The sequence below is a fragment of the Homo sapiens genome, chromosome 4 (assembly GCF_000001405.40).
Source record: "Homo sapiens chromosome 4, GRCh38.p14 Primary Assembly".
Taxonomy (NCBI): domain Eukaryota; kingdom Metazoa; phylum Chordata; class Mammalia; order Primates; family Hominidae; genus Homo; species Homo sapiens.
The window spans coordinates 41935044-41961071 of NC_000004.12; the positions used below are offsets into that span (position 1 = coordinate 41935044).

Consider the following 26028-nt stretch of genomic DNA (forward strand, 5'->3'; position numbering starts at 1 on the left):
GAGAAAAAAACCACACTTCCCGTCATGCCTCTGGGCACCGCTCCCGTTTCCCCCTCTTTGTCACCGCCTCTTCCCCACGGAAATGAAAGGAGCACTTCCGGGTTCGGCAATAACCTGGAGCCGGCGGCGTAGGTTGGCTCTTTAGGGCTTCACCCCGAAGCTCCACCTTCGCTCCCGTCTTTCTGGAAACACCGCTTTGATCTCGGCGGTGCGGGACAGGTACCTCCCGGCTGCTGCGGGTGCCCTGGATCCAGTCGGCTGCACCAGGCGAGCGAGACCCTTCCCTGGTGGAGGCTCAGAGTTCCGGCAGGGTGCATCCGGCCTGTGTGTGGCGCGAGGCAGGGAAGCCGGTACCCGGGTCCTGGCCCCAGCGCTGACGTTTTCTCTCCCCTTTCTTCTCTCTTCGCGGTTGCGGCGTCGCAGACGCTAGTGTGAGCCCCCATGGCAGATACGACCCCGAACGGCCCCCAAGGGGCGGGCGCTGTGGTAAGTGCGAGGGCAGGGTAGTCTGGCTTGATTTGCAAGAGTTAGGAAGAAGCAGGAAGCGTTGCGAGTCCCGAGGCGTTCCAGAAGCTCAGTGCATTCAGGAATGGGATTAATGAGTTGGGGTGGGGAAGTTGGAGCGGGGAGAGGGGAGGTCCTGAGCGAAGATATGGAGGGAACTACAAGTTTGTTTCTGAAGCGACAATAGGCTGACCTGGAGCTGGTGGCCCCCACCTGTATGCCATGGAAATTGGGCCTTCTTTCCTCTTCTCCCACCTCGGTCTTTTGTTTACCGTAGGCCCCAAGGTTAAAGATGCCGCATGAGATTGTGCCATGACACACATGATCCATGACACACACCACGTGGAGCACACGAGTGCCGGCAAAGAACGTTTCTGCCTAGTTTATACAATCGTATATAGAAATTATGCAAAGGGAGGAGAGCGGTGGTCTTTTTCTTCTTCACTTTGTTCTTTATGAAGAGAAATATCATTATGCTTTTGTAATTTTTTTAAGATGCTGATCTGGAGCTAACAAGTTATTTGTGCCCGGAGCATTGCTGTCCTCTACTTTTTAATCCATAAGTAGTTAAGTATTATTCTGTGTGACCACAATGCAGTTACCACATTTGGGAAATATTACCTAATATAAAATCCATGTGCAAATTTCCATAATTGTCCTTTAAAGCTGCTTTCTCTTCATCTGGGATTCTGTCAAAAAGCATGCATCGATGGGCTGGCGCAGTGGCTCACTCCTGTAAGCCCAGAACTTTGGGAGTCCAAGGCGGGAGGATCGCTTGAGTTCAGGAGTTAGAGACCAGCCTTGGAAACATAGCGAGACCTCATCTCTACTAGAAATCAAAGAAATTAGGCGGGGCGTGGTGGCTCACGCCTGTAATCTCAGCACTTTGGGAGGCCAAGGCGGGTGGATCGCTTGCGCCCGAGAAGTTGAAGCTGCCGTGAGCCAAGATCGCGCCACTGCACTCCAGCCTGGGTGATAGAGCAAAACCTTCTCTCAAAACAAACAAACAAACAAACAAACATAAATTAGCCGGTCGTGGAGGTGCGCTCCTATAGTCCCAGCATAGTCCCAGCTACTCAGGAGGCTGAGGTGGGTTGTGCTTTTGCGCTCCAGCCTGGGGTGACAGAGCGAGACCCTATCTCAGAAAGCATGCATTCAATTTACTGGCCATATCTTGTTTACTGCCTTTTAATCTAGAACAGTTCTGCCCTCTCCTCCCCTTTTTTGTCTTTTAAGATACTGATAGTTTTCAAGAGTCCAGACATGTTTTGCAGCATATATAGGTACATCTAATATGTATATCTATATTATATATCAGGAAGCATTTTACATTGATTTATCCCATCATTGCAGAATTTGTTTGATTATTTGATTAAGGTGGTGTCCACCAGTTTCTCCATTGTAAAGATACCTTTTTTCCTTTCTAATTAAAAAGTGTTCTTTGGCATGATACTGTGACACTGTGTGAATATTGCTCCTCAACAATTTTTCACCCAAAGATCTAGTGATTTTTTTTTTTTTTTGCCTGATGGTTGGACAGTTTACTCTTAAAAAATGTATACCAATAGACTTTCTTAAACTTTTAAAATTGTATAATATACATAAGTGTGTACAAAATGAAACGCATAGCTCAATGATTTATTGCAGAATAAACAACCTGAACAAATAGATTTTAAGGAGAATGTTCTAAAACTAACTTTCAAGCTGTGGTGCCCAGTCATAATATTTGTTGAGAAACTGAGCACAGTAAGCTGGATTCATCCTTCACTTGATTACTGCTAATCATTTCAGTTTATTGGAGTCACAGTACGGTAAGTCTGGATTTAATGATAAATCAAAGTTGTATTTCATATTTCTGAAATTACCTACATGTGGGTTAAAAAGACATAAAATAAAACAGCCTGGAATTTTACAATGTACTTGGATTTTTCCCTCAAATTTTTTATATTTTTTTTTCAAAAGATAATGAAATTAAATTACATAGAGCAGTGTTTTTAGACTTCAGGTAGACCCATTAGTGAGTTGAGAAGTCAGTTTAGTGTAAACACCAGCTATTTTTAAAAAATTAAATAGAAAATGTCAAAATCCATTATATACAGTAGGGTAAATATTTGTGAAACTTTTGTTTATATATCCATGTATATGGATCTCAATGTTAAAATTACGAAGATCCTAGACAAAAAATGTAAAAGCCACTTTTGAATATAAGATACATTTTAATGAGAAAACACATTTTAAGATTCTGCTTTAGTGGTAATAGACATAAGTATTGGGGGGAAAGCAGCAAAGGAAAGATAGAATGGGAAAAAAATGGGGGAAGAAAATGGTATAGGAAAGTTTAATCTAGGACCACCGAAACTAGGGTAAGACTTGTGGGGGAACATGGAGGTGATAAAGAGAGTGGTGTAATCAGAGAGGCAGGTGGCCATTTAATACCTGTCAGCCACATTTTGAGCACCTAGAGTATGCCAGGCCCTTGTGCATGTAGGCAGATTACAAGGCGAATGAGTTTAGTTGTTACTACTATCATGGTTTTATATTTCTTCTTCAAAAGGTTTCTTTAATCCCAACTGGCTTTATGTGATGTTTTACTCAGCTCTGAGACCTACCTATTCGGATTTGAGATTTTTTGCTAAGAATAGGCATATGGATCTCTTGAGAGCAATTAGTTTTTGTTTAATGTTCTTTTAAAATAGATGAAGCCAATATTGCAAGTGTTAAAGGAACACAGACAATTGTAGTTGAATTTCTGTTAAGATTATTTTTTCTAATTAATTAGTCTTTGCATTTTTTTAAAATGTCAGCTGATATTTTTCTATTTATTTCTGTTTAAGTACTTCTTGTGCTTTCCACATGAAAACTATAAGGTGTTTGGACTTCTCATTAAGCATATACATGAAACATGTAATTGCCTTAGAGTTTTCACCTAATGATCTAAAAAAACAAATGGAGGAAGATTAAAATATTTTGAGTAGACATAAAAACCACACAGTCTTGATGCTTAAAAACATGATTTGCAGGCATAGCTTACAGTATTTTTCTTTTTAAATTTAGCAATTCATGATGACCAATAAACTGGACACGGCAATGTGGCTTTCTCGCTTGTTCACAGTTTACTGCTCTGCTCTGTTTGTTCTGCCTCTTCTTGGGTATGTATTATACATATTGCTGCCTTTGATATTCAATTGTTGAGTCAGTTTATATGGAGTGCCTTTTAGGTGTAAGACTTATTAACCTGTAAAGGGTTTAGGGACAAATAAAATACAAGTTCCAGCCTTCAGGTACTAACAACCTAATAACATTATCAGAGGAATATTTTATATCTTGTGCTTTGTGAAACTAACACATTGAAAATCCAAGGAAAAATTGATGTGTGGGAATGAGATAAGTTCATGTTTTTTTCATTTTTACTTATTACTTGACAGGAAGGTCCTGCTTTATAAAATTCAATTTTATAAATTGATTATAAGAAATTCAGTTGGGCATATATATGAAGTGAAGCTATTAAAACGGTAGAATAAGTTCATGTAATTTTTTTCTATTGACAAGTGATTTAGGTGTTGTGCAATTATGATGCAATTCACAAAGGAGGAAGAGACACTGCAGTTGTTTATGTCTCATGATAACCTCTCCTCTGGTAATTTGCAGGTTGCATGAAGCAGCAAGCTTTTACCAACGTGCTTTGCTGGCAAATGCTCTTACCAGTGCTCTGAGGCTGCATCAAAGATTACCACACTTCCAGTTAAGCAGAGCATTCCTGGCCCAGGCTTTGTTAGAGGACAGCTGCCACTACCTGTTGTATTCACTCATCTTTGTAAATTCCTATCCAGTTACAAGTATCCTTTTCTACCTTGTTAACAATGAAATTGCCAACTAAGCATATAGGAGATCTCTTCTGATTATTTCAGCAATGAAGGCATTCCATGAAGCCTGGGTTTGTTCTCGGCACTTCATTTGAATGAAGATATGTTTAGTGTAAGAATTTCTGACTTTAAAATGTGAAATCTAAACTTTGAAGAGCTGATTTAGGAATTTTAAACTATCTTTGTTCTTGCCTCTTGTAAGCTTCCCTATTAGAATGGATATTTTCAAATTCCCCTTCGAAGCACAACCTTACGCAGAACTTACTTTAATATTTACATTTTTTTCATTTAATTCACGTTTTTGGCAAAGTGTCCAGATGTCTTGCTTTAAAAAAGAGAGGTCCTCAGCTCTTTCCATCTTAACCCCAGTGAACTAGATACAAATGGAATTTAACCAAGAAACAACTTATTTAAGCAGGTAATGAGATAATCAATACAAAGAAATTAATATTTGCTGTGTATAGAGTAGAAAATAAGGACACACATGGATAATCCGTGAAGCTAATGAGAAATAATTCATTTGGAATTTGTATGTTTTCACATTTCAAAGGTGTGTTGTGGGATGATACTGGGTAGTCCATAAAGGAGGGGAAAAATGGGGAAGAGGTTCTATAGTGAACACTAGGTTAAACTTTCTTTTTTTTTTTTTTTTTTTTTTTTGAGACAGAGTCTTGCTCTGTTGCCCAGGCCACCTGCCTCTGCCTCCCAAAGTGCTGGGATTATAGGCGTGAGCCATCACGCCCAGCCAGGTCAAACATTTTTAAATAGGGTTCTTTACTATAGTGGCTTTGGTATTCTAACGTGTGTTGTGAAACTAAGAGAGTTAGTAGGGTTTTTTAAACTTAAATTTGTGGTTGTTTTTTTTCCTGTAGATTATCTCTGCAAATCATTTTGTGCATTGAGAAGTGCTGGTCTAAGAGCTTTTGAATATTTATGATACATCTGTATGTTATGTAAAGCACAATAAAATATTCCTCTGAGACTGAATATTACCTATTTAGATACCTATGCTCATGAAGTATCAAATTTTTAAATAGATTTTTATAAGTCTTAAGGAAAAGAAATAGGAGGAAACCGAAATTTCCTGAGCACCTATTTTGCCAGTATAAGAACTTGAATTTAGGCCAGGCGCGGTGGCTCACGTGCGGTGGCACTTTGGGAGGCTGAGGTGGGCGGATCATGAGGTCAGGAGATTGAGACCATCCTGGCTAATATGGCGAAACCCCATCTCTACTAAAAATACAAAAAATTAGCTGGGCATGGTGGCATGTGCCTGTAGTCCCAGCTGCTCGGGAGGCTGAGGCAGGAGAATCGTTTGAACCCTGGAGTGGAGGTTGCAGTGAACTGAGATTGTGCCACTGCACTCTAGCCTGGGCGACAGAGCGAGACTCCTTCTCAAAAAAAAAAAAAAAAAAAAAAAGAACTTGACATTTAATCTTTGTAGCACTCTGAAAAAAATTGTTGTGGTATATTTTTAATAAAGATGCTGATTTGCTGATTGTCAGTATTCACTTCCCACACATTGGCTAGTAAGTAGTAATGCTGAAAAAGTCTTTCTAACTTAAAAGCTCTACCTTATCTACAGTTAGTGGGTGAGTAATACTTAAGTATACATTAAAAATATTTCTTTCTGTATGTGGGTAAACCTGGTAATTTCATTTAAATATTCAGTATATGGAGATTCCCTTTAAATTACTCACTTCACTGAGATAATGTGGGTAGTTTGAAATGTAAGGATAAAATTTTTCCTGTTTCAATGCATGAGTCTGTAATGTCCCATCATAATTTGTATTGGTTTATTTTTAGGTAAAACTCATTAAATGATTACTATACTACAACTGTAAATGATAATCACATTTGTTTGGCATATTATTGGCTTGACCAGCCTCTGTTGATTGAAGTGCTTTGCAGTCACCAATGTTAAAATTCTAGCCTTTCTGAGCTATAACGGGAAGTTATGTAGAGATTTTTGGTCATGCCTTTTAGTAGCTTAAAATTTCTTTGGAGGGAGAAATAGAAATGACAGAAAATGTGTTTCAATGTAGGGTAAACTGAATACGTCAATAACTTTGGGAACAGTGCCTCACACAGATCAGGCACTCAGTAAGTTTTGTTGAGTGAATCCTGAGGTCTTGCCAAATGAGACTCATGACTGGTGAAGAAAACCTTTCTGCCTTTTTATACAGTTGGTTATTTGGTAGCCCCTCTTTCCTGGGAATGTTGAAGATTAAGGATTTCATATTCCTTAAATTCTTACAAAGGGAATGTAGTAAACAGTGGGAATAACATAAACTAGTAATTGGCAGCAAATGCTAATCTGATTATTAAAGTGATATGGTAATAAATAAAAGCGGGCCCAAAGTAATATTACAGATTTGCGTTCTGATCCTTCTTCTTATAAAAGTGATATTTTGTCCTTGCTTGATTAATAACAGATAGGGCATTTCACCTCTTATCTTTTCTAAATACATTGTATTAATAGTTTAAGAGTAATGTTGAAGACTAAGATTATGAATCTCTTACCAAGGATTTGTGAACTATAGAATGTTAGACATAAAAGACTCATTGGCAGTTTCTAGCTTTGATCTCTGCATACTCATTTGCCAGAGCATGAAACTTGACCTAGGAAAATTAGGTTAGTGACAGAGTCAGGAGTGGAACTCAGGTATCTTGACTCCCAATTCAGGGCTCTATTTTCACTACCTGACACTGCCCCTTTTATTGAATTCAGTCTGGATATGTGTCAAAGTTTAAATTGAATTCTTTAAGGATCGACAGAGTTTTATAGTGACTTTTGGAGAGGGTTGTAGCTTCCATCAGTTTCAAAGTAGTCTATGATTCATTAAAAAATTTAAAACTTTTTATATACATATATGATCTCTACTTAGGAAATGGACATTTTTCTTAATTCTTGTTAGAGGTGGGAATGAGTTGGTCAGGATATTAATTTGGAGAACTATATTAGGGAGTTAGGGTTCTTCTAATACTTGGATATAGGTTGGTGTCTTGCTTGTCAATTGGAAACTGGGACCCTTGAATTCCTAAATGAGTTATGGTTATAATGAATTTGATACTCAGATTATGTTACAGCAATCACTATTTCCTGTCATATTAGGCCTTCAGTTAGTATAGAAAAATACAATGGTTCATTTCTTAGGAACTGGTAATATTTTTAGGACAAGTATTTTTGCCATTTGTGATTGACTAACAGTCTATATCATTTTGTGGAACTACTTGACAATTTTTTTTTTTTAATCAACCTGGCAGAAATTGGGGTGGAGAATGGGGTCTTTTGAACAATTTCCATTTTTCAAAAAGTTGAATGAAAAATGTATGTTTATCCATGGCATAAAGCCAAACAGTTGGACTCAAAAGGATTCTTTCCTTATGTCTGTAATTAAGCTGATGAGAGTTTCAATTGACTATATACAAAGCAAAATACATACTGCCTTGTTAATTTTTACAAATTGAGAGCATAACTGTGACAACTTGTTAGGTATAGTATCTCAAAATAATGGAGTCCTTGTAGGAAAGAAGTAATAAAAGATCTTTAGTCTTTGGGACTAAAAATTTGGGAATTACTCTTTAAACTGTTACCTTAGACTCTTTCCTCAGCGTTTGAGATTGTGAAAGCACTGTAAAACTACTGTGTTTGAAGGCTAAGTTAGAGTGACCAAGAAAGCCGTTGTAGGGTTAGAAGCTATACTTACAACCCTTTGGGGTGGCCTAGATTTCAGTTTAATTTAGCAAGTGTTTACATTGTTACCCAGTAGAAATGAAGGAAAAACCTTTTTTTCACTATTAATTTTTGTCATGAAAAGAACTGTGAATTGGCCGGGCGCAGTGACTCACACCTGTAATCCCAGCACTTTGGGAGGCCGAGGTGGGCATATCACCTGTGGTAAGGAGTTCGAGACCAGCCTGGCCAACATGGTGAAAACCCATCTCTACTAAAAATACAAAAATTAGCTGGGCGTGGTGGCAGGCGCCTATAATCCCAGCTACTCGGGAGGCTGAGGCAGGAGAATCACTTGAACCCAGGAGGTGGAGGTTGCAGTGAGCCAAGATTACGCCATTGCACTCCAGCCTGGGGGAGAAGAGTGAGACTTTGTCTCAAAAAAAAAAAAGAACTGTGAATTTTAGAAAATGAAATAGTTTACTTTCTTCTTTATAGTGAACAAAATTTGATTTGGCTTAAAGTGTATCAGTAAAACAAGCCATTCCACTGAACTCATTTTAGCAGATGTTTCACATCTGTATATTTGGACATAATACATAGTCTGTTTTGCAGAATACTTGATGACTTTTAAATGTTTTCCTTAATTGTTTTCTTTAGTGAGTATCTTCCCAGTCTTGTTATTCTCTTTGCTTCATGCTGCCACATATACGAAAAAGGTCCTTGACGTAAGTAAAACTGCTCTTTGTCTGACTTCTGAATTACAGATCATTGACATGAATTTGAGTTCTAAGACATTTTGGTATTTGTCACAAAAAGTCCCTCTATACCTTACAAACTTGTTATGAATTATTTAGTGATTTGAAAGTTTTAAGTTTAAAAGTGTTTATTGTTGAAGTTTCACAAACTAGAACATTTTATAGATAAAGGATTGCACTTAAAATCACCCCCCAGTCTCCAGGGGAATTTTTCAAGTTTGAAATAGATCAGTTTTTTTGAAACCTGTGTCTCTAAAGTTTGTTGAGTTGTCAGATCTCTTGTTCTGTCAGTGTTTAATTCTGGCATACCTGATAAGTTGAGTGTACTGAATGAATCTCTTGTACACTAATTTTCAGAACTGCTGCTTTCCTGAAATTCTTTCTTATTGCTAGGTTGGAGCATTAAACCTAACTTGGCACCAGGCCATTTACAGCATATACTGAAATTTGAATTAAAATATCCAGGCACATTTACCAAGCACATTTACAGAAATTTGAATTAAAATAGCCAGATTTATGCTTTGTATTGGCCTTTTTCTTTATCCCTATAATTCTTTGGTCACAGCAGTAATTACACTGCTGTATAATTCTAACATTAGCTAAGAAAGGAGTCACAGATATTTTAACTGTATTACTGGATAGTCAGATTTTGTTGTGGTTAGAGAGAAATAACCACTATTTTTTGTTAAATAATCATTCTTGAGAAAAAGCAGCTAAGAATGAAAAGTACTTTTACTAAAGTTGTTTTTTATATTAAGTCTAAAAATGTAAAAAAGCAGGAAAATATACTATATTTGTCCTTAAATAGTTTGTGAACTTCGTACCATCATTTCCAAAGTAGTATATTTGGTTGTATTGCCTGTTGGATAGGCTGTTTACCTACAGAAAGAAAATATTGTTATCAGAAATGCTTCACTTATTTCTAATGTTGGTTTTCTTTTGTTTTAGGCAAGGGGCTCAAATAGTTTACCTCTGCTGAGATCTGTCTTGGACAAATTAAGTGCTAATCAACAAAATATTCTGAAATTCATTGCTTGCAATGAAATATTCCTGATGCCTGCGACAGTTTTTATGCTTTTTAGGTAAGGAAAAATTATATTTGTTTTGGGAGGCTGATGACTGAACGTAATAAAGATAGTAACTCAAGTTTTATTCTGTTTAAATCTGTTGAAGGTAGGTATTGACATGTAGAGCTAAATGAATCTTAGCAGTTGCCTAATCTAACCTTTGTCATTTATAGTAGAGAACTTGAAATATAGTAGACCTAGGAATTTGTCTTATTCCTTGTGATTTATCATTTGACATTTTAAAAATTACTTTCATAGTTACCACCTTTGAAAGAATCTTATGAAATCTAATCTAGTCCAGTCTGTCACTATTGAGATGATGTTTCTTACACTAGAGAAAAACTTTTAAAATTATGTTCTTATATTAATAGTGCCTACTATCACCTTATTTTGTTTGTATCTTAATTATAGAAGTAATACATGAATAAAGAAAGCCATCCTTTTAAAAGTATGAACATTAAAATAGTATTGACCTCTGCATTGAAATTTTTGCATTACATTTTAAAACAATACACCTTGCTACCCAGATGATTGCTTTATCAATTTTTAGTTTTACAAGTAATGAGACATTACAGATAAAAGCTAAAATAGCATTTGACTATATGAATTCTTGCTGCAATTTTGTCCTCTTCCCAAAGGTGTAAGGAGTTTAATATGTGTCTATGTATGTAGTCCTTTAAAAATACTTATACAAATTTGTAGAACATATATATTATGGATGTGGAGTTTTGTTTGTTAATTTGTTTAGTTCTTATTTTACATCAAAGATGTTATTCTGGCTGGGCACAGTGGCTCATGCCTGTAATCCCAGCATTTTGGGAGGCCAAAGTGGGCAGATCACTTGAGGTCAGGAGTTCAAGACCAGCCTGACCAACATAGTGAAACCCTGTCTCTGTTAAAAATACAAAAATTAGCCAGGCATGGTGGTGCACACCTGTAATCCCAGCTACTCGGGAGGCTGAGACAGGAGAATTGTTTGAATCTGGGAGGTGGAAGTTGCAGTGAGCCCATATCACGTCACTGCACTGCAGCCTGGGCAACAGAGTGAGACTCTGTCTCACCAAAAAAAAAAAAAAAAAAGAAAAGGAAAAAAAAAAGTGTTATTCTGTACCTTTTTCCCACTTGTATGTTTTCATAACCTAATTGATTTGGCATATCCAGTTCTGTTTTTTTTTTTTTTTTAGCCGTATAACATTCCAACTTATCTCCTGATCATGGAATATGTTTCCAAATTTTCAGTTTTCCAAATATTGATGCAGTAAATATTTTTTACCTGCTTATACTTAATGCCAGTGTTTTCTTTAACATAGATACCAGAATTGATTTTGCTAGTACAAGCTAGGTGCCTTTTGTGTTTAATGGACCATGCTAAATTGTTCTTTAAAATGTCTGTATTACCTGTTTTTCATAATTTTGTTAGTTTGTAACAAATGTCCTTATTGATCATATAGTTATATTTTATAATTTTAAATGTACCTTGCCTTGATTAACTAGTAAAGTTTTCATGTACTTGACAGTTACTTCTTTCTATAGCAGTCTCTTCAAACTAAGAACAGAGTTTTATAGATTTCCTTATAAATATATATCTGTTTCATTCTTTTAAGTAGTGCTTTCTTCTGAGAACTCCAGGACTGGCTGGTGTTGCTTAAGTTGTATGGTCCCAACTAGATTTGATGCAGTTGTATTTGTAAATTAACTCTAAAACCTTGACCCTAAAATTTAATAAAAGCATCCTCTTATCCTAGAAGCTGAAAGCATATAAAAGAAAAGGGTAATGTAATCTGGGACAGCAGAAAAAGGGACAACATCAACATTCTAATATTTTTTCCATCATTTATAGGTTTTTCTTTCCACCTCTTTCTTTTGTGATCCTGATCTACACTTAGAAACTTTAATTATTAATTAGTAAGAGGAACTTTTTGCTCCCTTTTGTTATTCATTTTTCTCGGGTTTTTGTGTCACTTAATCCTGCTTTTGGGTCAGGATCACAGGTTCTGTGATTTGTTTCATGTAACTAGATGAAAGTTAAAATGGTAGATACCAGGCCGAGCACGGTGGCTCACAGCCTGTAAACCCAGCACTTTGGGAAGCCAAAGCTGGCAGAGCATGAGGTCAAGAGATCGAGACCATCCTGGCCAATGTGGTGAAACCCCGTCTCTACTAAAAATACAAAAATTAGCTGGGCCTGGTGGTGTGTGCCTGTAGTCCCAGCTACTCGGGAGGCTGAGGCAGGAGAATCGCTTGAACCCTGGAGGCAGAGGTTGCAGTGAGCCGAGATCGTGCCACTGCGCTCCAGCCTGGCGACAGACCAAGACTCCCTCTCAAAAAAAAAAAAAAAGATAGATACCGAGACTAGTTTTTTTGTATGGGTATAATTGATGTCTATATCCTGAAACCTCCAGATTCTGTTTAGTAAGCAAAATAATTTCTTATGCTCCTCTTAAATCAGATTAAAATAATTTTAATGAAATTCTGAGATGCCATGCAAACTTAGACAAAAACTTCACTTTGGAACTATAGTGAATTTTTTGTTAGGAGCACCAGGTTTTGACTGCGTTGGTACATTAATTCAATTGTGCTCCTTAAATGTTTAATTTAAACATTTATTTGTACAAACTTACCATCTTAATTTTTAAGATTACTGTAAAAAAGATGAGAATTTACCAGAAATGTTTAAATAGAGAAATAATTTTGTTTGAAAAATTAAAATCAGCTTATAAAGTGGTACTTAATTCCTATTAGGAAAAGCTGTTAATGCCTTAAGTAGGTAGTTTGAATATGACCTAAACAATAAAATTAAGAACAGTCTTACATTACTGCTATTCTTAATATGCTACCCTTTCTGGTATACACACAGTCTAATATTAGGAGGCTTTATCAAGTTACATTTGTGCCAGTAATGCTTCAAGCTCTGTATTTAAAAATTGATGCATTGTCTGAGTTTATCTTACACATGCGTTGCACATGTGTGCAAAGACAGGTAAAAGGATCATTGTGGCTTTTCTTCTAATTGACTGGAGCCACCCAAATATTCATTAGTACGGAGTTTGTTACATAATAGTCCAAGCATTAGATGGTATATTTGAAGCTGTAAAAAAGATTGCGGTAATTTATGTGTTGTGATATGGGATAATCACCAAGATATAATAAGTTAAACTTAGTTGTGTAGGGTGTTCTCCATTTATATTTAGTGGGGTGTATGTGTGTAAGGACATAGACGTTTCTGTCTCAGTTTTTTGGGAATGATAAACCATCTCTGTCCTAGAGTTGTTAAACAGATTTAGTGAATTATAAAGTGAGCACTATCAATGTTAGTCATTATATACACTTGTATATATACATTTCTGGAAGGACATATTCGAGATTGTGGTATAAGTTTGAGGAAGGGGCTAACTTGGATGATGGGAAACTTGTTTTTTAAGTGAATATTTTCTATTTATATTTTCTATGTTGTGTCTCTTACATTTTCACTTTAAAAAGATAAAAATTTGTCAAATTATTAGGGAAAATGGATGTTGCATTTGTTTAGTGGTAAGTTCGTAATCGTGTAAATTTTTTTTAATGAAAATGATACAATTTAGAAGAAAAGGCTAAAAAACCTAATAAAACACATTTGGCATCTTAATATATTTCTTCCAATTTAAAAAAATACAATTGTAATAATATGTGTAGTTTTATATTCTGCTTTTTTCAGAGTTGCTATGTAATTTTCATAACCAAGATTCTAGGTAGTTGCATATTAAATCCATTAAATAACCATAATATAAGTTGTTCAATTCTACTTCCTTACAGTTCACATTAGGTTGTTGCCACATTTTGTTTGTAGTTATTTCAGTGAATGTCTTAATTCAGATAGTTTTTCTTAGGGAAGAATTCCAGACCTGGTATTTCATAAACATATATATAATTCTTGGGATATTGTAATTGTGTTTTTTAACCAAGAACAATAATTAGTATAGGCTGTTTAGATTTACTGATGAGCCAGTGTAATTTTTTTGGTGGAGGGGAGTGTTTGTTTCTTTTTATATATATAAAATAAGTCACTTTTCATTTGCATATTTTATGAAGCTTTACAACTTGATTTCATCAATTAGTAATTACGGAATTATTTAACATTTTCTGATTTATTTAGTATTTTAAAAAATTTCAAAAGTAATACAGATAAGAATACATTTATAAAAAAATTAAACAACATTTTACTCTTTACCAATCATGTACATTCTTTTATATCCTTTTTTAAGGATAACTTGGATTTAGACATGATAGATTTCACTATGACCATTTGATGAATGAAGATACACATATTCTCCAGTTGAATTGCTTTTAAGTTTTGAGAGTATACACATGAATTGAAATGTATATTTATCACGCTTGTATTTGTTTATTTCAGTGGTCAAGGAAGTTTGCTCCAACCTTTTATATACTATAGATTTCTTACCCTTCGATATTCGTCTCGAAGAAACCCATATTGTCGGTAAGCTGATGATTATTTTAGGCATGTTTTATTTGTTGAGAGTATTGTGAATATATAGTATTCGCAATTCTTAAGAGTTACTTAGCTAATGTGTTAGACTTTAGAAGCAAGCAGTGTTTTTGTAAATTTAAGTTCTAGGCCTTAGAATGTACTGGGGTTGGTGAGGAAGTGGTTGTATTTGTTCTTAGAAACTGAGACTGCAGTTATCTACGCCACCTCTAAAGCACTGCTAAAACTTAGCAAATTTTAAAATGTATAAGACATAGATTCCACTCTCAACTTTCCTAGTTGAAGAAACAAAACACGTGTCAATTAGATAAACAATGGTTAGGATACAGAATTCACAAGCCAATAGATAATGAATGCCATATGTTTGCTTTATTATATCAGTACTGCAGTCCACAGAAGGGAGAGATCATTGGGCCAGAAGATAGATGAGCCCAGGAAGGTTTCACAAAATTGAGATTGTGGGAGGAGTAAAGCTTTTGAATAGGGAAAAGCATTTTAGGTGGGGCAAGAGAGACGAGAAGCACAAGCCATATTTGAGGAACTTTATGTAGAGCTGTTTTGACTCTAATGGAGATTCTGAATGGCTAATTGCTGGAGCTAAGATTAGAAAGGTATATTGGAGCTATATTATAAAACTTCTTGAGTTTTAGGGTAAGAAGTTTGGAATTTATCTTTTAGGTGAATGGGAATGATGGTTTTGACATCGTCAGAATATTCTTCTGATACCCTTGTGCCAGAAGAGTTTGAAGCAGAAAAATGGGGAAGCAGAGAAATTTTAGGGAATTACTGTAGTTTTCAGGAATGGAGGCTTAAATTAATATACACTAAATTATGCATTCTGATCTCAAGCATTGGAGTAAAACTAAAATGATACTCAAATACTAATATTAAGATAATCTATTTTTAAGTTTAAAATAATGTAGAATTCAGCTAGAAATCCAATGAGTGCATTACAGCAATCTGTATATTTTCATAAGTACAGTAAAAAGAACTTGAATTTGAATGCTGGCCCATCATTAACTAGTTGTGTGACTAGGCAGGTTATTTATTTGGATTTCTTCATTGGTAGAGGAAATAACTCCTTCTGGGGGTGAAGCGAAGTAATATTTTAAAAGTACTTAGACTGTTATGTTCTTACTAGTTCATTTTCATTATTCTATGATCTGATTTTCTGTTCAGAGCGTTTTTATGCTCTATTAGACAATGTCTTTTTTATAATACTTTCTAAAATAGAACTTATTTTAGACATTCGTTCTTAGTGAGTCTCTAGTAGCAAATTAACATTCATTTTTACTTGATTTCTTGAGTTTTAGCCTTTTTTCTTTCTGGTCCCTATATTCATTTCAGACATTATCTTATATTCTCTTGCCCTGACATCTGTTATTTTAATCAGCATATTTGTTTTTCTGTGCTTCTTTGTGCCTCCTTCTCCATTCCCATTTTCTTCACATACCCTTAAATCATATTAGTACATCTAGAATTCAGTTTTCAGTGGACTGAAAAGGAAAGGATAGCAGTGAATCAAGATAACACAAATATGTGCTGGTAAACATCTTCAAAGCTGTCTTATAAGCACCCATTTTAACCAAACCAGTGGAAAGGTAATGGAAAATATTTCAGCTTGTAAATATTGATAAACAGGCTATAAAACTACATTTTCAGTACTACACTTTTTTTAATTAAAGGTTTTGAGACCATCTCTATTCACAATTTGTACCATTTTCACCTACGATATTTATTCTCAAGTTGGTGGTTTCAGTTGTTTTTGGATCTCTAGTGCAGATTGTCTATAGCTGTGCTGTCCAGTACAGCACAGCAACCACATTTGACCTTTAAATAAAATTCATAAAACTTAGAACTTGGTTCCTTTTGAGCACAGTTCAGGTGGGTACTCAAAAGCCATGTGTTGCTGATGGCAACTGTGGGTCAGCACACATATGCAAAAATTTTGTCATTACTCAAAGTTCTGTTGTCAGTGCTATTAAGGAACTCTCTGACTGGTCCTTCAGCACAGATATGCAAAAATTTTATCATTGTTCAAAGTTCTGTTGTCCGTGCTGTTAAGGAACTCTGACTTGGTCTGTGCCAGCGATGCAGCCAGTAATAAAAGAACTATGTGACTTTAGTGAAAGCGATTGACTTCATTAGTCCTCATGTCTTCTAGCTTTATTCATTTGACTGATTGGTTAAAACAGTGATTGTATGTTGATGAACTTATGTGGAATTAAAATATCTTCTTTCAGAGGTACTCACTGCTGAATAAATTAGACAGCTATGTAAGTCAGTGTGATGATGAAGGTGCTCTGAAAGCATAGAGAACAGACAGAGACAAATAAGAATTCACTGAGGAGGTGGGAACATAAGCCAAGTCTTTTAAAGAATGAGCCTGAGTTCTGACACATGGGTGCCTGAAAAGTGCTTAGCATACTTGAGCTCAGGAAGTATATAGAGAATTGATAAATATCTGTGTCCACAAAGGTAGATGGTAGAAAGGACTAGATCATGAAAGGGTTTGGATTTTATTTTGAGGTAAGGAGAGCCTTTGAAGATTGTAACATAGAGAGGCTGGGAACCCCCATGATGAAATCTGATTTAGAAATATTCCAGAAAATGGATTGCAAGCTCAGCAAGAGAAGAAAAATATCAATTTGGAGACTATTAGAGTAGTCTAGAGCCTGAATTAATCCAGTGGTAAAAGGAAAAGGGGACAAATATGAAAGGTATTAGGAGATAGGATATTAGGGCTTGAGAGAAAAGAGTAAATTAAAGACCCACAGGTTTCTGGCTTGGAAGCCTAAGAGTTGTAATGGTGCTCTCACGAAGACAGGAGATACAGGAAGGGCAGGTTTTGGAAAATTATGCATTACTCCAAATATTATTATTCCTGTCTTTCTGTGCAAGCATATTAAATACTTGTTTAGAAAAGTAGATTTGTTGCTTTTTTTCTAACCATAGAAGTAAAACAGGACACAAAAAGGTAGAATAGTAGTTGCATCTTTATACAGGATGAGTCAGCACATAAGGTGAAAATTGTGAATGGTTAAAATTACCCTTGATGATCCTTCATATCACTTATAAATGTCAGTACAGTATACATGATTTTGTGTATACTAGCCTGTATAATATATGTGATATCTACAGTATGTAATAATACTTTGTAGGCAGTGAGCACAGTTAAGACATAGGCAAAGCCCACATGGTTTTGGGCACAAACATGCAACATAAGTTGATGATAGGAGCGAGGGCAGGGAGTGGCAGGAGATGGGGCAGAAAATTAGATTGAGACTAGATTGTGGAGGGTATTGGGTGTGACACCGAGTACTTGGGCTTTAGTCGGAAGGCATAAAAGAGTCATAGTTCAGTGTATTGATCCAACTGGGAAGTAACATTTATTGAGCATCTTCCATATTGCATTTAAATTTCACCACAACTCAGAATTATTTTACAGAAGAGGAAATCTCTGAGGGACAATATGTACATTTAAGGAAATAGTGGGTGAATAAATATAACTGTCCATGTTATATATTTTAAAATATATAAAAAACACTGTCCATGTAGTATATTTTTTCTTGTTCTGTTTTAAAAAACTAGTTGAAATTGCCTAAGTTAAATGTGAAAATGATGTGACTCTAAAATATATATATATAATTTTTAAAATTTAATCTGAGGTTTTAGAGATAGCCATTTATTAAATACCTTTGTTAAATGAGTGTTTCCACCCATAAAAGATGTAGGTGTTGTTTGAGAATTTCATTGTATTTTGTGTTTTCTCTACAATGCATTCTAGTTATTCTTTTACTTCAAATTCTAATGGCTATGGTAGATTCCTTCATGAGTATTTGTTTAGCATTAGAGGCATACTTCAGAAATGTTGTGGGAGTGGTTCCAGACTACCACAATAAAGTGAATATCACAAAGCTGTCAGATGAATTTTTTGGTTTTCCAGTGCATACAGAAGTTATGTTTACACTCTACTGTAGTCTGCTAAGTGCGCAATAGCATTACCATCAGCAGTAAGGCTGTTCTGCTTTCTTATCATTCATCCGTTCACAGAAATGGGCTTTTAATTTTCTTCAGGAACTTTTCCTTTGCATTCACAGCTTGGCTATTTGGCACAAGAGGTCTAGCTTTTGGCCTGTCTTAGCTTTAGCCATGCTTTTTTCACTAAGCTTAATCATTTCTAGTTTTCATCTAAAGTAACAGACATGGGAGGCCTCCTTTCACCTGAGCACTTAGAGGCCATTACAGGGTTATTAATTGGCCTAATTTCAGTATTGTGTCTCAAAGAATAGGTAGGTCTGAGGAGAGGGAAAGAGACCAATCAGGAATGGCCTTCATGAACTGCTTCATCTTATATTTGTGCAGTTTGTGGTGCCCCAAAACAGTTACAATAGTAACACCAAAGAGATCACCGTAACAGAACAGATCACAGATCACCATAATAGATTAATAATGAAAACATTTGAAATAGTGGAAGAATTGGCAAAGTGTGACGCAGAGACATGAAGTGAGCACATGCTGTTGGAAAGTGGCACTGATAGTCTTGCTGTATGCGGTGTTGCAACAAACCTTCAATTTGTAAAAAATGAAATATCTATGGAGTACAATAAAATGAGGTAAGCCTGTGTATTGCTTTTTCCTTGTGTTTCTCAAAGAAAACTATTTTGTCTTGCAGGACCTTATTTAATGAACTGAGGATTGTTGTTGAACACATAATAATGAAACCTGCTTGCCCACTGTTTGTGAGAAGACTTTGTCTCCAGAGCATTGCCTTTATAAGCAGATTGGCACCAACAGTTCCATAGTTTAACATCTAGTTAAGCTACAAATATAGTATAAGCATTATTAGCAGCTGGTACTTCTGCTAGGGGTTGTAAATTCCAGGTGTTACACTGACCTCAATCCAATTTACATAATTTACATAAATGCATCTCGGTGGAAAAATAATCATTTTCTTGGCATGTTAAATCAAGCTTAAAAAGTTTTGAGAAAATTTTACTGCGCTGTGTTGCTAATGGTTAAAGAAGTCTGTATCTAGTGATAAATATACCAGTTTTTTTAAAAAGATGCTGTTGTGCCTATATCATGAAGTACATTAATTTCTCATGTAAAAAAAATAGCTCTAAAATTTGTTTCAACCTAATTGGTAACCTGAGTTTATATCTGGCATGAATTCATTATGGTGATACACATATGTGAATTCAGTACATTTTGAGACAGTATTCTACCATTCAGTAATTTTGGTTAATGATTTTAACACTTCTCAGTGTATTTAATTTCAAATTGTTTTTTTAATTGGTTTTATGCTGCTTTGTTAGGACAGATGTGTTTTGAATGTACCATTATAAGAAGAATTCTATGTATCTTAAACTATGATCTTCTAAAATTTTATTTCCGTAAGTACTTCTGTGGCCTTGAGTATTTTTTAAAAGGCTCAACTGTAAGCCTCTTAGCCAGTTGGATAAATATTTGGGGTCACCTAGCCATTGAAAGCAGAAAGCAGTAGTGACACAGCTTTCCCTTCAAAGAGCCATTGAGAAACATTTCTCAAACAGGAAATCCTTCTTTTACTAATGTGGACATATAGATTATTCGTATTATAGTTTGTAGAACTACCTAGTTCAGAATCTTGACTGCCAGTTTTCTTGGTTTCTTAGGCTTGAATTTTCATAGACAATTGCAACAGTTTAGATGCCTTTTGAAAGGAATGTAATGAAGATTCAGCATCTGACTATATGTGTGTCTATCCTGAAATAATAATGGAGAGTATACTGTAGATTACATGTTTACCCATCAAATCTGACTTAAAAGGTTAAATGGAAGGTTTTATAGGTAAGGTAATTGATTGGGAATGGGGTAGGGGGAGGAGTTGTGGGGGAATAATGTGCATTTCAGTCTCAACGCATAGATAAATTTAGGGGAATTGGATGTATTATTCAACTTTGATTTGGGTTGTAAAATGTGTTAAATCCTGTTCATTGAACTCCCATCAACTCTTATAAAATTCATGCTGATCTTCATTACCGTTGCATGATTGGAAATGTTTAAAACATTGTACAGTTTTAGTATAGAGAAATGTAATGGTTTTTGTGACCAGTTTCTGTCTGCATGTAATTTGGATTTCTCAAATACATTCATTAGTAATTTATCAGTAACATTAGTTTTATTTTTGTTCATCTCCTTATCTATAAAAAGGGGATATTCTTAGGATAAATACATGAAAAATTATACTTGATAGCTTAACTATAATCAGCTATTTTTGTATTTTTGTAATATTTGTCCACTAAGCTGGAGAAGCAGCCTCATACAGTTGATTTTGTGTATGTGGCTAGTCTTATTGTCACTATGTAAGTAATCCAATGGTTTTAGAAACTAAACTTTCTAGAGCAATAAAATGACTATAATGTTAAGTAAACATAATGTTGATTTCTAATTATGTTTTAAAAAATGAAGTCTTGAATTATATCAAGAAATTTTGGCAGCTGAAGTCATGTTTATTTTGAAGCTGTTAGTTTTTTCCTATAATTTAAAAAGATCTTTTAGATTTATAGAAGAGTCAGAAATGTACAAGAGAGTTTTTTTGTTGTTGTTTTTGTTTTTTGAGACAGAGTCTGTCTCTGTCGCCAAGGCTGGAGTGCAGTGGCGCAATCCTGGCTCACTGTAGCCTCTGCCTCCTGGGTTCAAGTGCTTCTCCTGCCTCAGCCTCCCGAGTAGCTGGGACTACAGGTGCACGCCACCACGCCTGTAGTCCCAGCTGTATTGTAAAAATACAAAATTTTAGTATTTTTAGTAGAGACAGGGTTTCACCATGTTGGCCAGGATGGTCTCGATCTCCTGACCTCGTGATCTGCCTGCCTCGGCCTCCCAAAGTGCCGGGATTACAGGTGTGAGCCACCGCGCCCTGCCAAGAAGAGTTCTTTTGCATACCCTTTACTCAGGTCCTCTCATGTTAACGTTTTACATAACTGTAGAACATTTATCTAAAGTAAGATATTAGCCCAGAACAATACTACTAACTGAAGTATAAAACTTATTTGAATTTCAACAGTTTTTTTTTCATTTCTTATTTTCCTTTTGTGTGCTCTGTTTATACCATGATCCATGATTTTTTTAAAATCATGATTGTCTTTTAAAGATCTGTGTGTCTCTGTTTTGAGTTTTTCCTGTTTATTTTGAAAAGTACTGTTGGTCAAGATAATTGGTCAATAATCCATGTTGGTTTTAACAAAAAGCATTTTAACATTAAAAATATTACAGTATAAAATAACACTCTGTGCTTTAAATTGAGGTTTTATGTCATTTTAGCAGAATTATAATATTTCTGATATACTCATGTTTGACAAGTTGAAACAGATTTGTTTCTTAAAGGAAGGTTTAATATACAAAAAAAGGTAATCTTAAACTTACGAAAAAGTAAATTTTACAATTTGAGCATTACTAGATGTTTAGTTTGCATGAACTCATAGTTAGAAATTCTGCAATAGGAATATCTACAACCGGCTGATTTGGAATTTGAAATTATAGTGTTACATGTATACCTATCAAATTAAAATTAAGGAAATACAATAGCAATATATAGAATGAATGTAGTAACAGAAATTAACTCTTTACTGCATCATTGAACTTATTGTTAGTTACAGGTTTAAAAGAAGTTCATTTAACATCCAGTGTGTCTAATTCTTCTGGAAGTGGTGTAGTACCATTGTTCTTCTGGCATTTTTAAATATTAAACCTTTTTGGATAGATGGAAGCCTTATACAAAATCTACTTTATTTTAGCAAGGATTCTCTGTCCTTTTGTATAGTTGGTACCTTACTAATTTAAACTCTAATATCAATCTAAAGAGAAATTTATTATGCAATTTGTATTTAGGTTTTTTTTTTTTTTTTTGGAATGAAGTTCAGAGGTAGATCCTCCTGGAAGAAAGAAAGCAAGCGAACTTTTTAAAGAAAATTAGACTTGAATATTTAAGAATGTCCCTTACAGAGAAAAGGCCAACTATAATACTAAGCTAAAAGTTATGAAAAATTAATAGGTTCTTTTATAGAGCTAAGAATGATGAAACCATCAATACTTCCTTCTTCCTAAAAATCCAGATCAAAACTTCAGGTTAGGTTTCTAAGTTTAGGACATGAATATTATTTTTTTCTGGAAAAGAAGATGAGTATATGTGTAATAAGACAAGTAGAACTGAGAGATTTAGTTTTTTTTTTTTTTAAGTTTTAGTTCAGAATAACATTAATTTTGAGAGATTGAGGTAAAGAACCTTAACTAATGCTAAGGAGTTTATTTTGATTAACATAGGTTATTCTGACCACCACCTCTTCCTTCCTTAATCTCCTTAGAATCTGACAGTCTCAAAGCTGTCACACAAATTAGACTAATTTTGACACTTTGAAATGAAAACTTCAAGGAAGAAGTAGCCACGGACAGTTATGTTTATAATCAGTAGGTGGCACTCTTTCCTCAGGTAGCCCCCCATTTTCACATGATGTGTTTGAAGGTTAAATGCCACCAAAAGTGCTGAGTCAGCTATAAAACTAAGTCCCTGAATTCCATGGCCCTTTTAAATATGTAATCATTCAAGATTGAAAAAAAAAATTAAGCATTTTTTGTTTGTTTGCTTGTTTGTTTTTGAGACGGAGTTTCACTCTTGTTGGCCAGGCTGGAGTGCAATGGCGCCATCTCAGCTCACTGCAACCTCTGCCTCCCGGATTCAAGCAATTCTCCTTCAGCCCTCCAAGTAGCTGGGGTTACAGGTGCCCGCCACCATGCCCAGCTAGTTTTTGTATTTTTAGTAGAGATGAGGTTTCACCATGTTGGCCAGGCTGGTCTTGAACTCCTGACCTCGTGATCCCCCCACCTCGGCCTTCCAAAGTGCTGGATTACAGGCGTGAGCCACTGTGCCTGGCTTGCATTTTTAAAATACTGAATTATTCAAAAGAAGTACCCTGTCAATATGTGCTTTCTAGGAAAACAGTAAAATAGGCCACAATTTGGAGTGACACCATTCAGATCAAGGTCTATCCAGTTTTTTCTTTTCATGCTAAGTGCCTACATCACCGAAACACACTAATATAAAATTATCCTTTCTCCTTCATTTTCAGATGTGTAAAAAATGGTACTTAAAGTGTTTTCATGATCATTTTGTAGGTAGACTAGATATAGCCCGTTGAACCTCTTTTAAAATTTAGACTTTTGATAGTAATATAAAAGCATATTGAAATTTGTAGATATTATATGAGGAATGGCACCTAGATTTGAAAATTATGCTTGGCTTGTAGAGACAACTAGTTTCTCTCGCTCTTTTTTTTTTTTTTTTTTTTTTTTTTGAGACAGATTCTCACTCAGTTGCCCAGGCTGGAGTGCAGTGGTGCAGTCTTGGCTCACTGCAACCTCTGCCTCCTGGGTTAAAGCGATTCTCATGCCTCAGCCTCCCTAGTAGCTGAGACTACAGGCGTGCACCACCACGCCCAGCTAATTTTTGTATTTTTAGTAGAGACAGGATTTCACCATGTTCACCATGTTGGTCAGGCTGGTCTTGAACTCCTGGCCTCAAGTGATCTGCCCGCCTCGACCTCCCAGAGTGCTGGGATTATAGGTGTGAGCCACTAAGCCTGGCTGAGACAACTAGTTTCCCTTAACTCATTGGAATTCTCTAGGATTAGGAGAATTCCACAGAGCCTATATGATATTATAGCTCAACATTTAGTATACCAAAGGCATACCCGTGTAAATCTAGGAGTTATTTCCAGAGATTGTTTTAAGGAGCAGTCTTATATTCAGGGTAGAAAGTTATGATTGGATCTGCTGTTAAGGAGAACAAAGGAGCTTCTAAAGGTTTGGGAGGTTTACTGGTAGTAACTATTCTAGGAAATATTTATGTTTTAAGGTGATGTTCACATGGGTTCTTTAGAAGGAACATAGTCAAGTGTGATGGATTAACTCTATATAGTCTTTCTCCTCTTGTGCGTGTAGGAAATCTGACCTGCAGTGTCAGTTGATGTGACAAGAGATAAAGAAAGCACAGTATTTTAAAATCTAAAGCAGATTCCTTTCTTAGAAAACAATAGGAAAAAATTATAGATGGATGTCTTTGCTGAAATCTAACAATTAGCTCATATTCCATGAGAAAGAGTGGCCTAAGAATTATTTCATGTTACCTAGCCTTCTGAAGCTACTCACTTGATGTGCCTAGCACTTTGAAACTAACCTTTTCTTTCTTTGTTCATGACAGTTTAATTCCAAATATTTACTATTTTCTCTTGTAACTGTTAGAACAGTTCCTTTTGACATTAATTTTTGCCTACATATATATTTTTAAGTTGAGACCAAATCGGTGAAGTGTTGAGCAAGTAACATTTATGATGTGTGTATATTGGAACAAATGTAAAAGGGTTACAAAGATTAGAAACAGAGTCATAAAAAATGGCTTGATTTATAAAGGCATTACTTTTGGTGCTTTATATAATGGCATATATTGAACTAAAAATTTGTATATACAGTATGTCAGCATTTCTTAGTAACTTCTCTTGAATCCATTTTTAATATCTAATATTGTACAGGTTGGGGAGTTACATTCTTCAGGCCAATACTATCCAGACTATATAAATTTATAAAATAAATTGAAAAATTCATTCCCCTGTATTCAAGACCAAAGCACATAAATGCTAATGTAGGGCTCAGAGGGGAAATACAGTTCTCCTGCATATTTGAGAAAATGTGAAGTCCTTTCAAGAAAATCTAATAAACATAATAATCATAGCCTGCTGACACTAAGGAAAAAGGACCTCATTCACTCTTTCTTTTATGCAGTGATTTACTGGTCCCTACTGATTTCCAAATTGGATCACGATAGTAAATTATCCATGCTGGTACCTGTGAAAGTAAGCCCTGGGATCCATATTTGTTTTGTGTTCTGCTTAAATCAGCAAGAATGATAAATTTGATGGTGTGAAATTGGAAGTATCAAGGGCTTTCTTTGGTGATTGAGGGAAATAATGTCTCTACTTGTAATTTATTGTGACCCTTTTTCACTGTATATGCTTTGTATGTCTAATATTTATTTCAATGCAAATTCAATTGTTCCTTCATCTGTATTGTTATATCTAAGATTTTATTGATGTTAAAATCTAATTGTGGAATAAAAATCTCTCTGGAATTTAGCAGATACAAAAATGTTATCTTGCAAAAGAACTAAGAACATTTGTAGTTAGAAATCAGCTTTCCTTTGAGCTTAATTGCCTTTTTGTTAGAATAAGGTGAATTTGAACACACTCCTCTTATCCTCAGCCCATCACAAATAATAGAGATGCCATGATTTTGAGGTCTGATGTGAAACTGGTAAAAATGTGATCTAAGGTGTAACTGGAAAAAAAAAGGAAAGAAAAATTACATTGATGCCTCAGCTGTTTGCTTGATTCTGTACTTTTTTTAATCTAGTGAAATTTATACTCTAGAGATGAGTTATAGCCCTATAATGATTCACAGCATACAGTATATACAAAGTCATCAGTCAACGCAGGATAACAGAGAAATATATTTCTCTTATAGGTGTTTAGAATTTTCTGCCTCTTCTTGACAAGTGGCATTAAGCAATACACTGTACAAGGAAGTTAAATCCTTGTCCATTTGGAGATTGTAATCTAAGAGCATTATGGAAATCAGTTGTATAAAG

General features: G+C 35.3%; 1 protein-coding gene across 3 annotated transcripts, besides 3 other annotated features; it reads left to right on the forward strand.

Annotated features, from left to right (window-relative positions):
* The first annotated feature begins 93 nt into the window (after positions 1–93).
* Positions 94–25760, forward strand: TMEM33 (transmembrane protein 33). Of its 3 annotated transcripts, none has more exons than XM_005248116.5 (8): positions 94–267; positions 424–486; positions 3559–3653; positions 4153–4340; positions 8704–8771; positions 9750–9883; positions 14259–14342; positions 19027–25760. In XM_005248116.5, the coding sequence occupies exons 2-8, from the start codon at positions 442–444 to the stop codon at positions 19154–19156; spliced, it is 744 nt and encodes a 247-aa protein (XP_005248173.1). In that variant the 5' UTR covers positions 94–267; positions 424–441; the 3' UTR covers positions 19157–25760. The 3 variants fall into 3 exon arrangements, with proteins under 3 accessions (XP_005248173.1, XP_005248174.1, NP_060596.2); XM_005248117.3 differs by having other exon boundaries at positions 94–219; NM_018126.3 differs by lacking the exon at positions 94–267 and having other exon boundaries at positions 386–486.
* Positions 226–405: an enhancer, noted in NCBI's record as "active region_21508". NCBI's record gives its function as "activates an Ori minimal core promoter by ATAC-STARR-seq in GM12878 lymphoblastoid cells {active_cell/tissue: GM12878}" and the evidence as "EXISTENCE:reporter gene assay evidence [ECO:0000049][PMID:35858748]".
* Positions 646–695: an enhancer, noted in NCBI's record as "active region_21509". NCBI's record gives its function as "activates an Ori minimal core promoter by ATAC-STARR-seq in GM12878 lymphoblastoid cells {active_cell/tissue: GM12878}" and the evidence as "EXISTENCE:reporter gene assay evidence [ECO:0000049][PMID:35858748]".
* Positions 706–775: an enhancer, noted in NCBI's record as "active region_21510". NCBI's record gives its function as "activates an Ori minimal core promoter by ATAC-STARR-seq in GM12878 lymphoblastoid cells {active_cell/tissue: GM12878}" and the evidence as "EXISTENCE:reporter gene assay evidence [ECO:0000049][PMID:35858748]".
* Positions 25761–26028: the final 268 nt, after the last annotated feature.

Excerpts from the sequence above, each read along its gene's own strand:
- TMEM33 (XM_005248116.5), top strand. The coding sequence starts at position 442 with ATGGCAGATACGACCCCGAACGGCCCCCAAGGGGCGGGCGCTGTG. Across the intron at positions 4,341-8,703 it reads AAATTCCTATCCAGTTACAA|TGAGTATCTTCCCAGTCTTG; the intron begins GTATCCTTTTCT and ends TGTTTTCTTTAG. Across the intron at positions 8,772-9,749 it reads ATACGAAAAAGGTCCTTGAC|GCAAGGGGCTCAAATAGTTT; the intron begins GTAAGTAAAACT and ends CTTTTGTTTTAG.